The 16,140-nt window shown below is 39.4% G+C and overlaps 1 protein-coding gene and 1 long non-coding RNA gene across 33 annotated transcripts in view, besides 1 other annotated feature; one reads left to right on the forward strand and one right to left on the reverse strand.

Annotated features, from left to right (window-relative positions):
* The window catches only part of ENTPD1 (ectonucleoside triphosphate diphosphohydrolase 1), a 183,082-nt gene that overhangs the window by 94,995 nt on the left and 71,947 nt on the right, over positions 1-16,140 (forward strand). The gene's annotated exons all lie outside the window — the stretch shown is intronic.
* ENTPD1-AS1 (ENTPD1 antisense RNA 1) overlaps positions 1-16,140 on the reverse strand; it is a 337,030-nt gene that overhangs the window by 35,974 nt on the left and 284,916 nt on the right. The gene's annotated exons all lie outside the window — the stretch shown is intronic.
* Positions 2,502-2,801: an enhancer, noted in NCBI's record as "active region_3806". NCBI's record gives its function as "activates an Ori minimal core promoter by ATAC-STARR-seq in GM12878 lymphoblastoid cells {active_cell/tissue: GM12878}" and the evidence as "EXISTENCE:reporter gene assay evidence [ECO:0000049][PMID:35858748]".

Here is a 16,140-nt window from a genome sequence, read left to right on the forward strand (position 1 = left end):
AATGGATGAGAATTTATTGAGAGCCCTTGACTTTTCTAAATGAGTTTAAAGAATTTTAGAGAGATATGCTCTTTAAATTATTGGAATTGGTAATCTAAATAGTAAAAGATGAAAGAGAATGGATCCAGGAAACTCAGTATGAGTTGATACGTGGCAAAGTCTTAAATATGGAAGATTTGTTAACACCTAAAAAAGAAAGCTCCAGTCACTTGAAACTGGCATGCATTTATTGAATCAACTTATATCAAATTACTCTTATTTGTAAAATATTTAGAAGGGCTCTAGGGTTAAAAAATTTTGGCAGTCTCTCAAATTCATAGAAACAGTGTACATTTGACCCTTGCACAACACAGGTTTGAATTATATGGGTCCACTTTGCAACAATTGGAAAAACTCAAAGATGAACCATATAGCCTAGAAATACTGAAAAAAATTAGGTAAAAGGTATGTCATGAATGCATAAAATATATGTAGATATTAATCTATCATTACTACCATGAAATATACACAAATCTATTATAAAAAGTTAACATTTATCAAAGCTTACACAATTACAGACCATGCATGACACCACTTACAGTTGATAGAAATTTAAACAAATATAAAGATGCAGTATTAAGTCATAACTGCATAAAATTAACTGCATTACATACTATACTACTGTAATAATTTTGTAGCCACCTCCTCTTGCTATTACAGTGAGCTCAGGTGTTGCATGTATCTGCCTAGAATGCCATAAATTGCATATTGCAGTAAAAAGTGATCTCTAATGGTTCTCAAGTATTTTGAGTATTTTTCATTGTGTTTAGTACAACACTGTAAACTTTGAATAACAACATGGGACCCATTCAAAGTACCACGAGTGATATTGGAAGTGCTCTCAAGAAGCAGAGAAAAGTCATGACTCATGACATTACAAGAAAAAGTTGAATTGCTTCATATGAACTGTAGGTTGATGTCTGCAGCGGTGGTTGCCCACCACTTCAGATAGATGATTCATCTCATAGATGGGGATCTTGCAAACTTACCATATCGATAAATACAGTACAGGGTTATAAATGTATTTTCACTTCTTTTTGATTTTCTTAATAACATTTTCTTTTATGTAGCTTACTTTATTGTAAGAATACACCATATAATACATGTAAAATAGAAAATATGTGTAAATTGACTATGTGTGTTATTGGTCAACAGACTATTAGTTAAGTTTTTGGGGAGTCAAAAGTTACATGCAGATTTTCAACTCCGTGGAGGTCAGTACCCCCAACTTCCATGTTGTTCAAGGGCTAACTGAAGTTTATTTCATCAAGAGTTTAAAATGTTTTTTAGTTGTAGAAAATTTCAAACAAATACAAGATGAAGAGAGTAATATAATAAACCACTGTATACTTATTACCCATCATTACAAACTATCAATATTCTGAGTTTTTTTTGTTTCATCTATCACTTTCCTCCCAACCATACCTTTTTGCTGTTTTTGGAATATTTTAAGCAAATCTCAAATATTATATCATTTTACTTGTAAGTACTTCAGTATGAAAAAAATGTATAGCAGAGTCTTTCATGATATGCCCAAAGATGAGTTGGAGAAATAGAGATTGGATAAGAATGAACTAAAAGGATTGGTACTAACATAAACCATGGCCAAATCATGTTGATAAATAGTTTGAAATCTACCTTGAAGAAAGGTGGTAGGGAAATATACTACAAGATTCTGTCCTTGTTGTTGTCTTATGTGGCACGATTTATCAATGATATGGCCAAAAATTTAGAAAGCATGCTTAGCAGATTTGCTAACAATACGTAGCTTTTAGTGAGACTGCAATGTATTACATAAAAGGATCAAGTATCATCAGGCTGGAAAAATGAGCTGAAACCATAGGTTGACATTTAATTGATACACACAAGGTGAGATTCCTGACTTGGAGGTAGTTCATGGGAAGATCTGTAGGTTTTACTAGACCCGTAGCCCTCAGTATGAGTATCTAAAATGATGAGTCATATTTAAACAGTGTTAATGTTTAGTTTCCAGGTGAAGGGCTATAATAACTTCACTGTATCTGCTATATTCAGTTCAGAGCAATGTATTTTGAGAAGGACATTACAAACTGAAGGGCATCTAGTGGAGGGTAATTAGGGTGACATAAAATCTGAAAATCGTGATATGTAAAGAATGGTAAATGGAACTGGAGCTATTTAGCCTGGAGAATAGGGGACTTGAGGATGGGGTTTATATACTGGCAACCCATGAGGACTTGAAAAACAAATTTTTAATGAAGTAAACAAATTCTAATTTGCTTTGTAGCTTCGAGCTGGGATCAGAGAGTGGAAGTTAGAATGAAACAGAACTTAGGTCAAGATAGATTGCTAACAGTTAGACATGTCTGGCAATGGCTTAGACTACCTGGATATGCACTTCTGTCCCATCAGTGGAGAATTTTACTGCAGAGGGTAAATACCCATCTTTTAAACAGGATTACCACTTGGAAGGAGTTGGACTAAGTTAGAGGTTCACAAGGGAGAACTTTGGCTGTACATTAGAATCACCCGGCTGGGGGTAGAGGTGTTAAAAGTGAACAGTGCCTGGGCCCCATGCTAGAAATTCTGATGTAATTGTCCCAGGTGAGACTACAGAAAGTCCCCAGGGAACTCTGGAGTGTGTGAACTCTAAGGATCCTTTCAACTTTGAGATTTTTTTTTGGTTTGAAAAAGAGAAATCATGTTCATGGGGGGTATTTTAGAAGTCAGCATGGTGGAAAACCTGAAGATGACAGTGAAGTCAGGCACAAAACTGAACTCAGGGGAGTAAAGAGAATTGCTTAAGAGAGACTAAAAGTGCCAGAGTTTACCAGGAGACAGAGAAGCTTAGAGGAGAGGGTGCCTTGCATAGTTAAAAAAAAACATCAAAAGAAGTGAGAGTGGGAATGGTATTAGGAGAAGAGAGCGTGGCTGAAGAAGATGGGAGTGTCCATCAGACAACCCACCCTGCTTTGCCTGGGACTGAGAGGTTTCTTGGGATACAGCACTTTCAGTGTTAAAACCAGGACAATCCCAGGCAAACTGGGATGGTTGGTCACCCGAGTGCCCCATAAGACCCTGTCAAAAGACAAAATTACAACAAATTTAGTTTAAAGATCTCAATAGGCTTTATTGCAATTTTAGAATTAGGCAACACTTCATTCCATAAAACAGAGTAAGTGTTCCAATGAGTTGACCAGAGGCAGCAGGCTTTCTAGACAGAGAAAGGGCTGAAGAAAGCAGAAACAAAGAACAAAAAGTAGATTGGACATTTCAAAGTTACTTTCATTGTGGGCATAGGGAGATAGAAAGATGGAAAGATAACTGATTGGTTAACATCGGGTTACTCTGTTGTAAGAATTAAAACAGAGGGAACTGCATGATTGCCAGTTGAAGACTGAAACTGGCCTGTTGGGAAATTAGGCTGTTGCCTCTCTCTCCTGATTTCATGGAAGACCAGATAACAAACTCAAGGTTTGGAGAAGCAGAACCTTAGATAAGGGACTCTATTTTGGTTTTTAGGCTGGTCTGTTGGGGCCTAGTGCAGGGGTTTAGTCCAAAACAGTGGCCTCCTATAATTTTTGTTGAACACCCATAAATGAAGGCAGCACGGGAAAGCATTTGTTATCCTAGTCACTCTTCCTGCAGAGTAAAGATGTGCTCTGCATTCATCTGAATTCATGGCTTTGGTGTGCGTAACTGCAAAAGCTGAAATGTCATGTTCACTCTGGCCACGTATTCCACTCATAGTACCATACTTGTGTGTCCAGCATCTTGCCAGGGTGCTGGTCTTGGGCTTACTATGCTTTCTTTGGGGTGCCTTGGGATTCCTTACGTCATTGCTTCCTCCCAACACCAGCTGAAACCTCCTGAAGTGATTTTGAAGCTTGTTTCTTTGAATAGCTTCTTAGCAATTTCCTCACTGCTATTTCAGTTCCCCTCCCACCATTGTGTGAAACAGTGCCAAAGAATTTCATTAAACTGGCTGACTTCAAGGATGGTGAACTAGGACTGCTTCTAAAAAGCAGGCTGATAGTAACTGAGGGAATTGCCTAATAAGGAATAGACGGGAGGCATGCTGCCCCTACATAATCTCTTCCTTATAAAGAGAGAAGTATGGATGGGATATGTTGAGTTGTTTATAAAAAATAATGAAGGGAAAATCCCCCTAAAATTATGGGGAAAAGGCCCCTGGTTGGGCTTTAAGTATAGAGAATAACTTGGGTAGTCTTCACCCACTGTATCCCTAAAAGGCCTCACAATTGCTCTTCAGTCTCTTTCTCCCCTTCTCATCCGCCATTAATTAGGAGGTTACTTATGTGTGTTATGAATTAAAGCAGTGGTTCTCAAAGTGTAGTCCCTGGACCTGCAGCAGAGCATCACCTAGCAACTTGTTAGAAATGCATATGCCCTGGCCTCACCTCAGACTTACTGAATCAGAAACTCTGAGGATGGGGTCAAGCAGTTGTAATAAGCCTTCCAGGTGATTCTGATGCAGGTTTATGGTTAAGAATTGGATTAGAGAAACTATGTTTTTAGAAGGTTCTTTAAAGGAGAAGTCCAGGGCCTACCCTCTGACATGGGGCTGAACAGGAAAGCAGCAAGCAGAAGAAACCAGAACTAACCACTGAGCCACGGTGGGTGGTGGTTTGACATTTATGTGACAAGACAGTTAATGTGACAGGAAAGAAAAATGAACAGAGAATTGTGAAATCAAATAGGATCAGAATGATGTCACAGTGGTCAATCCAATTAATTCATATCATTACAAAATTAGAAAGTCACTAATGACTAATTTCTAATATATATCTGCATAAAAGGGCATTGTATGATATGAATTGGATTTTTAAGTATACAGTATTTTGTTTCATTTTGGAGACATAGCTTTTAGTAAAAACATGTCCAATAGGTTCTAGTCAATCCTTAATTGAAGCTCTATGTTGACAGGAAAATAGAAACTCATTGAATTTTAAAAAGATGATTTGGCTACTACAGTTTTATTATTATTATTTTTTAGAGTTCTGTAGCAAAGAATCACAGAGGCCAAAAATGTGAAAAAAAAAGTCATATGGCTTAATGATCTTTGTAATCATAACCCTATCAACCATAACAAAAACAACAATCATAAGTACAGTTGCCATTTATCGAGTGCCTACTCTGTGCAGACACTGCTGAGTGCTCAGCACGGGGGATGAAGTCATGGATAAGCAGCAGACATGGTCCTTGCCCTCCTACCCAGTGATTCCCAACCCTGGCTGCACTTGGCACCAGGGAGCCATTAAAAAATGTCAGTGCCAGGACCCCAGCCCCCGAGGGATTCTGATTTAATTGCTTTGAGATGGGACCCCAGAGTTGGCATTTTTACAAAGGTCTCCAGTGAACCTAATGTATATATCCGGAATTGAGGACTGCTCTGGTGAAAGACTTACATATGTAAACAATTCATTATAATAGCCTTAAGTGCTATGAAGAAAAAGCTCAGAGTGTTGTGAAGGGTACCAGTTAGTGTGGGGTTCAGGGTAGGGTTTTCTGAGGCATCCTTGAGGAAGTGACTTTCTGTTGGGATCTGAAGGGTAAATAGGAAATAGCTAAGCAAAGAGGATGGGAAGGGAATGTTCTAGGCAGAGTACATAAATTGTGCTAGGGCTCTGGGCGAGGACAGCATAGTGAAATGGGGGCTGAAAGGGGGCAAACAGTGAAGGAAATACTGTGATTAGAGAAGTGGAGACCCAGGGAGGGGCCAGAACATACAGGACATACGGGCTAGATAAAGGATTGTGTTCTTTCTTGTAAGTAATGGGAAGCTGTGGAGTATTCTAAGTAACTAGTGGATGATGTGATTATATAGACCCTTTGAGAAGATTACTCTGGCCGTAGTTGGAAAGCAGATTGATGATAGGTAAGAGTGGATGCAGAGGAATCAGTTAGGAGTCTTCTGTGGGAGGGCATGATGATGGGACTAAGAAGACATTAGAGTGATGGAGAGGGTTACATGGCATTGAATTTTTGGGAGATTCCAAGACTTGGTACAAGGCCTCAGGGACATTTGCTGAGTTAGTGAGTTGCTTGGATATAAAGGGTGAGGGTGGGGAAGGAATACAGGATGATGCTGCTGTTCTTGGTGTCAGTAACTGGATGAGTGGTGATGTTCACTGAGCTGTGAATATTGAGTTATAGAAAGCTACAGGAGAAACAGTTTTGCAGAGGAAAGGAGAGCATGAATTCTGTTTGGGCACAATAGGTTTAAGGTGCCTGTGAGATATCCAAGTTAAAAGGTGAAGGAGGCAGCTGAAAGTTCAATAATACATATGTCTGGACCAAATATATAGTATTTCCCACGTATGGACAGTAACTAAGACCATGGGGTCCGGTGAGATCACTCTAATCATTTTTTCATACAGAGCTCACTGCGTCTTCATGTCAACTTACCTAAATAAGTTACGTCTTTAAAATTTTATCTAGAACATGAAAATTTAGACAGGTTAAATAACTTCCCCAGGTCATGCAGCTAGTAAGAGGCAGGGTTGAGATCCCATTTCATAGGAGATGCATCAGTACCTAGTCATACTGCATTTCCTTAATCAGAATGACTGATTCTCAGATACAATGGAGAGTTAACCATGTTTGCTAAGGAACGACCAATGACCAGCTGAGTGTATATTTTCTTCCATTATAAACATGGCATTTGAGTCTACTATTCTTGGAAAGTCAGTGAAAAAATATCCCATGGAGTTTATGATTAAGCTCTGAGATCCAGATTTTGGGTTTACTGCCCAAACATCTGTCCCCTTGCTTCCTAGAAAACATGGAAACTGAAGTTGAGGTTGCCTGGAAGCTTACTAAAAATAGTGAGAACCATGGAATTGAGAAGTTAAAACATGTTTGAAGTAGTCAAATATATACCTCCACTTTTTTGATGGAAAACGTTGTGTACTAAAAGTCTAAATCCATTTCACTCATTCAACTGACATATGTAACACTGCTATAGGCCAAACCCTTTGCTGGGCTCTGGAGAGGCACTCCTTGTTCTTAAGGTGCTCTGTCTCATAGGGGAGACTGACACAAGTTAAAGGCTATTATAGCATTGTGAGAAGGGTGCTATGAGAGGATTGCAAAGGAGGGTATTTCGTCCATCATTAGAGAAGGGGAAAGCCTTTCTCAGAAAGACTTCCTGGAAGTGATAACACATAAACTAACAATTTGAGCCTCAATTTCTTCATAAGGTAGAGTTAGTTAGATAAATAAGAGAGGAAAGAATACTGTTTCAGGTACAAGAAAGAAACAGGAACATTTTACTATAAGGCAGGAGGATAGGAAAAAAAGACCCCATTTAGAGACCAACACCTTAATACACATGGGTTGTGTGGTTAGATGGTTAGCATGGCCTTAAAATTGTTGCTGGAGTTTGGCTTTTGAGGGACATAAAGGCATAACTGAAGAACTTCATACTAGTTAGGGCCACATACTGAGGTTTGCATTTTTAGGATGACTATGTTAGCTTTTAAGTAGATGATGTGTTGGAAGGGGAAGTACCTAGAGGTGGGGAGGACTCTACAGAAGTTATTGTAGGAGTCCAGGGAAGAAATACAGAGAGAAATGGCCTGGGCATGGTGGCTCATACTGGTAATCCCAATTATTTGGGAGGCTATGGAAGGAGGGTCACTTGAGGCCAGGAGTTTGAGACCAGCCTGGGCAACATATTGAGACCCTGTCTCTACAAAAAAATTAGCCAGGTGCGGTGGTGCACGCCCGTAGTCCCTAGCTACTCAGGAGGCTGAGACAGGAGAATCACTTGAGTCCAGGAGTTCAAGGCTGTAGTGAGCTATAATTATGCCACTGCACTCCAGCCTGGGTTACAGAGCAAGACTCTATCTGAAAAAAACACAAAAACAAAATAAGGAGATAAACAAATAGATTTGAGAGGTATTTAGTGGGTGGAATCAACAAAACTTGGAGATTAGAGGGAGAAGTGGGAATATAGGGGGACTTAGAGGGAAAGTGGTGATCTTTACTTAGCCAATTATGCGAAAAGATTAATTTAGAGTGGGTAAAAAGTTAAATTTTAGACATGGTGAGTTTGGCCATAGAACATCCAAGCAGATATGTCCAGTAGGTGACTAGCATTATAAATTTTGAGCTCAAGAGAAAGGCCTGGGCTGGAAATACAGATCAGGGAATCACGGCCATAAAGACTGGGGACTTGTCATCATAGAGATTAGGAAGTTATCCTCATAGAGACTAGGGCATTGTGTTAGTCTGTTTGCATTCTTTAAAGGAATGCCTGAGACTGGGTAATTTATAAAGAAAAGAGGTTTATTTGTCTTATGGTCCTGCAGGTTCAGCCTGTAACATGGTGCTTGTACACAAGCAGTATAGTGCCAACATCTGCTTCTGGTGAGGGCCTCAGGAAGCTTACAATTGTGGCAGAAGGCAATGGGCATATCACATGGTGATGGAGCAAGAGAGAAAGGAGGAGGTGCCAGGCTCTTTTAAACAACCAGCTCTTGTGTGAACTAACAGAACGAGAACTCGCTCATTACTATGGAGAGGACACCATGCCATTCATGAGGGATCCACCCCTGTGACGCAAAAACTTGCCACTAGGCCCACCTTCAACATTGAAGGTCACATTTTAACATGAGATTTGGAGGAGGAAAACATCCAGACTGTGCATCATCGCCATAGAGAGTAGGATGTCATTCCTATAGAGGTTGGGGAGTTATCCTCATAGAGATTAAGGACTTGCCATCCTCATAGTGAGTAGGGAGTTATCACCATTCAGTTGGCATATGTAGATAAAATGAGATGAACCAACATCCCAAGATGGAACGCTGTGGATCATTCATATTTAAAGGGTATGGTGTAAAAGAGAAGCTGGCAAAGTAGGGGAAGTAGGATGGTTATTGGAAAAACCTGGTGTCATGGGAGCCAGGAAAGGAGAGTGCTTATGTACTAAGATGTCAAATGTCAGATTGCACAAGAAATGTAGATACTGAGATGTGTCCACTGGATTTGGCACTATGAGGTTGTTGGTGATATTTGTGTGAACAGCTTTAGTGGAATGGGATCAGGAGCCAGATACAGTGGGTTCAGCAAGTAGGGAGGTGGAGTTTAGAAAGGCACTTATTGCCAGGAGAATTTTAAAAAAAAGCAAGTTAGAGAAAGTCAAGTAATAAGAACTAGTGTGGCATGGATCAGCTCTCTGGGAATGCTGGAGGGAGAGAACTGAAGGGGAGAGAAGTGGAATAAACACTATAAAAAGCTCTGAGAAGAGAGGATGTGGCTTCACCCCACCCAATCCTGAGAGAATGGGTGGAGGGTAGGCCTAATATTGTCTTGTTATCCAAATATTGTCTTTACCAGCTATCCTTTCCCTAAAGATGGGACAAGCCATTCCCAGAGGTCAGTTCCAGGCAACATGACCTTCCCAGAAGGTGGGGTAAAATTTTCCTCATTAACTCATGTGTTCCCCAGAGTCTTTGGGTTTTTAGGAATTTCTACAAAGAATTTCAAATATTTTACAAGTCATTTCCAAGTACCATAATATATTCTTCCTTCAGTTTGGTATCTCAAGCTTTTGTTAAGGTAGAGACACATTTTCCTTCACTCAGAACATTGTTGTAACTCTGAAGGAGAAAAGGCATGTGGAATTACTATTGTCTGCATTGGCCTTCCTTCTGTGGCTGCACCACTCCTACTTCTGTGAATCTGAGCAAATAAGAAAACAGACCACCTGCATGTGAGCAAGAAGCACACAGATTTTGCTGAATATGTGGCTTCAGTGGTCTTCACGTTGCTTCTGTGTTCTATAGGTAGCCCGGTTTTATACAGACAGACAATCTATTTCACCTGATGGAATGAAAAGGATAAGAATCATGTGAAACCAAACACATAAGAGATGGATGTGTAAGGCATAATACCCATTTAGGGATTAACAATATCAGCTCATTTTTTAAACTTTTAAGCTCAGGGGTACATGTGCAGGTCTGTTATATAGGCAAACTTGTGTCATGGGAGTTTATTGTACAGATTATTTCATCACCCAGGTATTAAGCCTAGCTCCCATTGGTTATTTTTCCTTATCCTCTCTCTCCTCCCACCTTCCACCCTCCAATAGGCCCTAGTGTGTGTTATGCCACTTTATATATCCATGTATTCTCATCATTTGGCTCTCACTTATAAGTGAGAATATGTGGCATTTGGTTTTTTGTTCCTGCATTAATTTACTAAGGATAATGGCCTCCAGCTCCATGCCTGTTCCTGCAAAGGACATGATCTCATTCTTTTTTATGGCTGTATAGTATTCTGTGGTGTATATGTACCACATTTTCTTTATCTGGTCTATGATTGATGGGCATTTAAGTTGATTCCGTGTCTCTGCTATTGTGAATAGTGCTGCAGTGAACATATGTGTCTTTATGATAGAATGATTTATATTCCTTTGGGTATATATCCAGTAATGGGATTTCTGGGTCAAATGTTATTTCTGTTTTTAGGTCTTTGAGGAATCACTGCACTGTCTTCCAAAATGGTTAAACTAATTTACACTACCACCAATTGTGTATAAGCGTTCTTTTTTCTCCACAACCTTGCCAGCATCCGTTATTTTTTTACTTTTTAATGATAGCCATTCTGACTGGTGTGAGATGGTATCTTATTGTGGTTTTGCATTCCTCTAATGATCAGTGATGTTGAGCTTTTTTTATATGATTGTTGGCCACATGTATGCTTTATTCTGAAGAGTGTCTGTTCATGTCCTTTGCCCACTTTTTAATGGGGTTGTTTTTTCTTGTACATTTGTTTAAATTTCTTATGGATGTCAGATATTAGATCTTTGTTGGATGCATAAGTTGCAAAAATTTTCTCCCATTCTGTAGGTTGTCTGCTTACTCTGTTGATAGTTTATTTTGCTGTGTATCGGGGGAACCAGCCCCCAATATTTCAACATACGTTCTTTCTATTTTCCCTAAGTGTTGGCCGGTCTGAGAAATAAAGAGAAAGAGTACAAAGAGAGAAATTTTACAGCTGGTCTTCCGGGGATGTCATCACGTATTGGTAGGACTGTGATGACGACCCTGAGCCGCAAAACCAGCAAGTTTTTATTAGGGATTTTGAAAGGGGAGGGGGTGTATGAACAGGGAGTAAGTCACAAAGATCACATGCTTCAAAGAGCAATAAAGGTCACAAGGCAAGGCAAAATTAGAATTACTGATGAGGGCCTATGTCCCACTGTGCATGCATTGTCTTGATAAACATCTTAACAGGAAACAGGGTTTGAGAGCAGACAACCAGTATGACTAGAATTTACCAGGCTGGAATTTCCCAATCCTAGTAAGCCTGAGGGTACTGCAGGAGACCAGGGCGTATTTCAGTCCTTATCTCAACTGCATAAGACAGACATTCCCAGAGTGGCTGTCTATAGACCTATCCCCAGGAATGCATTCCTTCCCCAGGGTTACTCCTTGCTGGGAAAAGAATTCAGCGATATTTCTCCTACTCACACATCTATCTATAGGCTTTCTGCAAGAAGAAAAATATGGCTGTATTCTGCCCGACCCCACAGGCAGTCAGACCTTATGGTTATCTTTCCTCGTTCCCTGAAAATAGCTGTTATTCTGTTATTTTTCAGGGTGCACTGATTTTATATTGTTTAAACACACATGTTTTACAAACAATTTGTACAGTTAACACAATCATCACAGGGTCCTGAGGTGACATACATCCTCAGCTTAAGAAGATGACAGGATTAAGAGATTAAAGACAGGCATAAGAAATTATAAGAGTATTGATTGGGGAAGTGGTAAATGTCCATGAAATCTTCACAATTTATGTTCAGAGATTGCAGTAAAGACAGGCATAAGAAATTATAAAAGTATTAATTTTGGGAACTGATAAATGTCCATGAAATCTTCACAATTTATTTTCTTCTGCCTTGGCTCCAGCTGGTCCCTCTGTTTGGGGTCCCTGACTTCCTGCAACAGCTGTGCCGAAGCTTTTTAGTTCCATTAGATACCATTTGTCAATTTTTGCTTTTGTTGCTATTGCTTTTGGTGTCTTCCTCATGAAATCTTTGCCCATTCCTATGTCTGGAATGGTATTGTCTAGGTTGTCTTCCAGGATTTTTATGGTTTTGGGTTTTACATTTAGGTCTTTAATCCATCCTGAGTTAACTTTTGTATATGGTATAAGGAAGGAGTCCAGCTTCAGTCTTATGCATATGTCTAGCCAGTTATCCCAGCACCATTTATTGAATAGGGAATCCTTTCCCCATTGTTTGTTTTTGTCAGGTTTATCCAAGATCAGGTGGTTGTAGATGTGTGGCCTTATTTCTGGGTCCTCTATTCTTTTTATTTTTATTTATTTTTTATTTTTATTTATTTATTTTTGAGGCAGAGATTTGCTTTTGTTGCCCAGGCTGGAGTGCAATGGCGTGATCTCTGCTTATTGTAACCTCTGCCTCTGGGTTCTCTATTCTGTTCCATTGGTCTATGTGTCTGATTTTGTACCAGAACCAAGCTGTTTTGGTTACTGTAACCCTGTAGTATAGTTTGAGGTCAGATAGCGTGATGCCTCCAGCTTTGTTCTTTTTGCTTAGGATTGCCTTGGTTATTTGGGCTCTTTCTTGGTTCCATATGAATTTTAAAATAGTTTGTTCTAGTTCTGTGAAGAATCTCAATGGTAGTTTAATAGGAATAGCATTGAATCTATAAATTGCTTTGGGCGGTATGGCCATTTTAATGATATGGATTCTTCCTATCCATGAGCATAGAATGTTTTTCCATTTGTTTGTGTCATCTCTGACTTTTTAGATTTATTCTGATCCAAATGTGAGTGACCATGGCCTGTCAGCCCTCGGGAGGTCCTGAGAACATGTGCCCAAGGTGATCGGGGTACAGCTTGGTTTTATATATTTTAGAGAGGCATGAGACATTAATCAAATACATTTAAGAAATACATTGGTTTGTTTCAGAAAGGTAGGAGAACTCCAAGTGAGGGCTACCAGGCTATAGGTAAATTTAAATGTTTTCTGTTTGACAATTGCTTGAGTTTGTCAAAAGACCTGAGATCTATAAAAAGGAATGTTCAGGTTAAAGATAAATGATTGTGGAGACCAAGTTTTATTTTGCAGAGGAAGCTCTCAGATAGCACACCTCAGAGAGAGAGAGCAGGTTGTAAAATGTTTCTTTTCTTTTCTTTTTTCAGGGTAATTAGCATATCCATGAATTTTTTTTTTCTGTTTTGAATGATTTATTTCCCACCTTCTTTTTTTAAAATTATGCGTTAAGTTCTAGGGTACATGTGCAGAACATGCAGGTTTGATACATAGGTATACATGTGCCATGTTGGTTTGCTGCACCCATCAACTCATCATTCACATTAGGTATTTCTCCTAATGCTATCCCTCTCCAAACCCCCCACACCATGACAGGCCCCGGTGTGTGATGTTCCCCGCCCTGTGTCCAAGTGATCTCATTGTTCAATTCCCACCTATGAGTGAGAACATGTGGTGTTTGGTTTTTTGTCCTTGTGATAGTTTGCTGAGGATGATGGTTTCCATCTTCATCCATGTCTCCGCAAAGGACATGAACTCATCCTTTTTTATGGCTGCATAGTATTCCATGGTGTATATGTGCCACATTTTTTTAATCCATCACTGATGGACATTTGGGTTGGTTCCAAGTCTTTGCTATTGTGAATAGTGCCGCAATAAACATACGTATGCATACGTCTTTATAGTAGCATGCTTTATAATCCTTTGGGTATTGCTGGTATAGTTTGAGGTCAGATAGCATGATGCCTCCAGCTTTGTTCTTTTTGCTTAGGATTGCCTTGGTTATCTGGGCTCTTTCTTGGTTCCATATGAATTTTAAAATAGTTTGTTCTAGTTCTGTGAAGAATCTCAATGGTAGCTTAATAGGAATAGCATTGAATCTATAAATTGCTTTGGGCGGTATGGCCATTTTAACGATATGGAATCTTCCTGTCCATGAGCATGGAATGTTTTTCCATTTGTTTGTGTCATCTTTGGCTTTTTAGATTGCTGGGTCAAATGGTATTTCTAGTTCTAGATCCTTGGATCACCACACTGTCTTCCACAATGGTTGAGCTAGTTTACACTCCCACCAACAGTGTAAAAGCATTCCTGTTTCTCCACAGCCTCGTCAGCATCTGTCGTTTCCTGACTTTTTAATAATTGCCATTCTAACTGATGTGAGGTGATATCTCATTGTGGTTTTGATTTGCATTTCTCTGATGACCAGTGATGATGAGCATTTTTTAATGTGTCTGTTGGCTGCATAGATGTCCTCTTTTGAGAAGTGTCTGTTCATATCCTTTGCCCACTTTTTGATGGGGTTGTTTTTTTCTTGTAAATTTGTTTAAGTTCTTTGTAGATTCTGAATATTAGCTCTTTGTCAGATGGGTAGATCGCAAAAATTTCCTCCCATTCTGTAGGTTGCCTGTTCACTCTGATGGTAGTTTCTTTTGCTGTGCAAACTTTTTAGTTTAATTAGATCCCATTTGTCCATTTTGGCTTTTGTTGCCATTGCTTTTGGTGTTTTAGTCATGAAGTCCTTGCCCATACCTATGTCCTGAATGGCATTGCCTAGGTTTTCTTCTAGGGTTTTTAAGGTTTTAGGTCTAACATTTAAGTCTTTAATCCTTCTTGAATTAATTTTTGTATAAGGTGTAAGGAAGGGATCCAGTTTCAGCTTTCTACATATGGCTAGCCAGTTTTCCCAGGACCATTCATTAAATAGGGAATCCTTTCCTCATTTCTTGTTTTTGTCAGGTTTGTCAAAGATCAGGTGATTGTAGATGTGTGGTGTTATTTCTGAGGCCACTGTTCTGTTCCATTGGTCTGTCTCTCTGTTTTGGTACCAGTACCATGCTGTTTTGGTTACTGTAGCCTTGTAGTATAGTTTGAAGTCAGGTAGCGTGATGCCTCCAGCTTTGTTCTTCTTGCTTAGGATTGTCTTGGCAATGTGGGCTCTCTTTTGGTTCCATAGGAGCTTTAAAGTAGTTTTCTTCCAATTCTGTGAAGAAAGTCATTGGTAGCTTGGTGGGGATGGCTTTGAATCTACAAATTACCTTGGGCAGCATTGATTCTTCCTATCCATGAGCATGGAATGCTCTTCCATTTGTTTGTGTCCTCTTTTATTTCATTGAGCAGTGGATTGTAGTTCTCTTGAAGAGGTCCTTCACATCCCTTGTAAGTTGGATTCCTAGGTATTTTATTCTCTTTGAAGCAATTGTGAATAGGAGTTCACTCATGATTTGGCTCTCTGTTTGTCTGTTACTGGTGTATAAGAATGCTTATGATTTTTGCACATTAAATTTGTTTCCTGTGACTTTGCTGAAGTTGCTTATCAGCTTAAGGAGATTTTGGGCTGAGACAATGGGGTTTTCTAAATATACAATCATGTCATCTGCAAACAGGGACAATTTGACTTTGTCTTTTCCTAATTGATACTTCTTTCTCTGGCCTGATTGCCCTGTCCAGAACTTCCAACACTATGTTGAATAGGAGTGGTGAGAGAGGGCATCCCTGTCTTGTGCCAGTTTTCAAAGGGAATGCTTCCAGTTTTTGCACATTCAGTATGATATTGGCTGTGGGTTTGTCATAAATAGCTCTTATTATTTTGAGATATGTTCCATCAATACCTAGTTTATTGAGAGTTTTCAGCATGAAGGTCTGTTGAATTTTGTCAAAGGCTTTTTCTGCATCTATTGAGATAATCGTGTGGTTTTTGTCTTTGGTATAGTCTGTTGATTTGGGATGGAGAGTTCTGTAGATGTCTATTAGGTCTGCTTGGTGCAGAGCTGAGTTCAAGTCCTGGATATCCTTGTTAACCTTCTGTCTCGTTGATCTGTCTAATATTGACAGTGGGGTGTAAAAGTCTCCCATTATCATTGTGTGGGAGTCTAAGTCTCTTTGTAGGTCTCTAAGGACTTGCTTTATGAATCTGGGTGCTCCTGTATTGGGTGCATATATACTTAGGATAGTTAGCTCTTCTTGTTGAATTGATCCCTTTATCATTATGTAATGGCCTTCTTTGTCTCTTTTGATCTTTGTTGGTTTAAAGTCTGTTTTACAAGAGACTAGGATTGCAACCCCTCCTT

Source organism: Homo sapiens, chromosome 10 (assembly GCF_000001405.40).
Source record: "Homo sapiens chromosome 10, GRCh38.p14 Primary Assembly".
Lineage (NCBI taxonomy): Eukaryota > Metazoa > Chordata > Mammalia > Primates > Hominidae > Homo > Homo sapiens.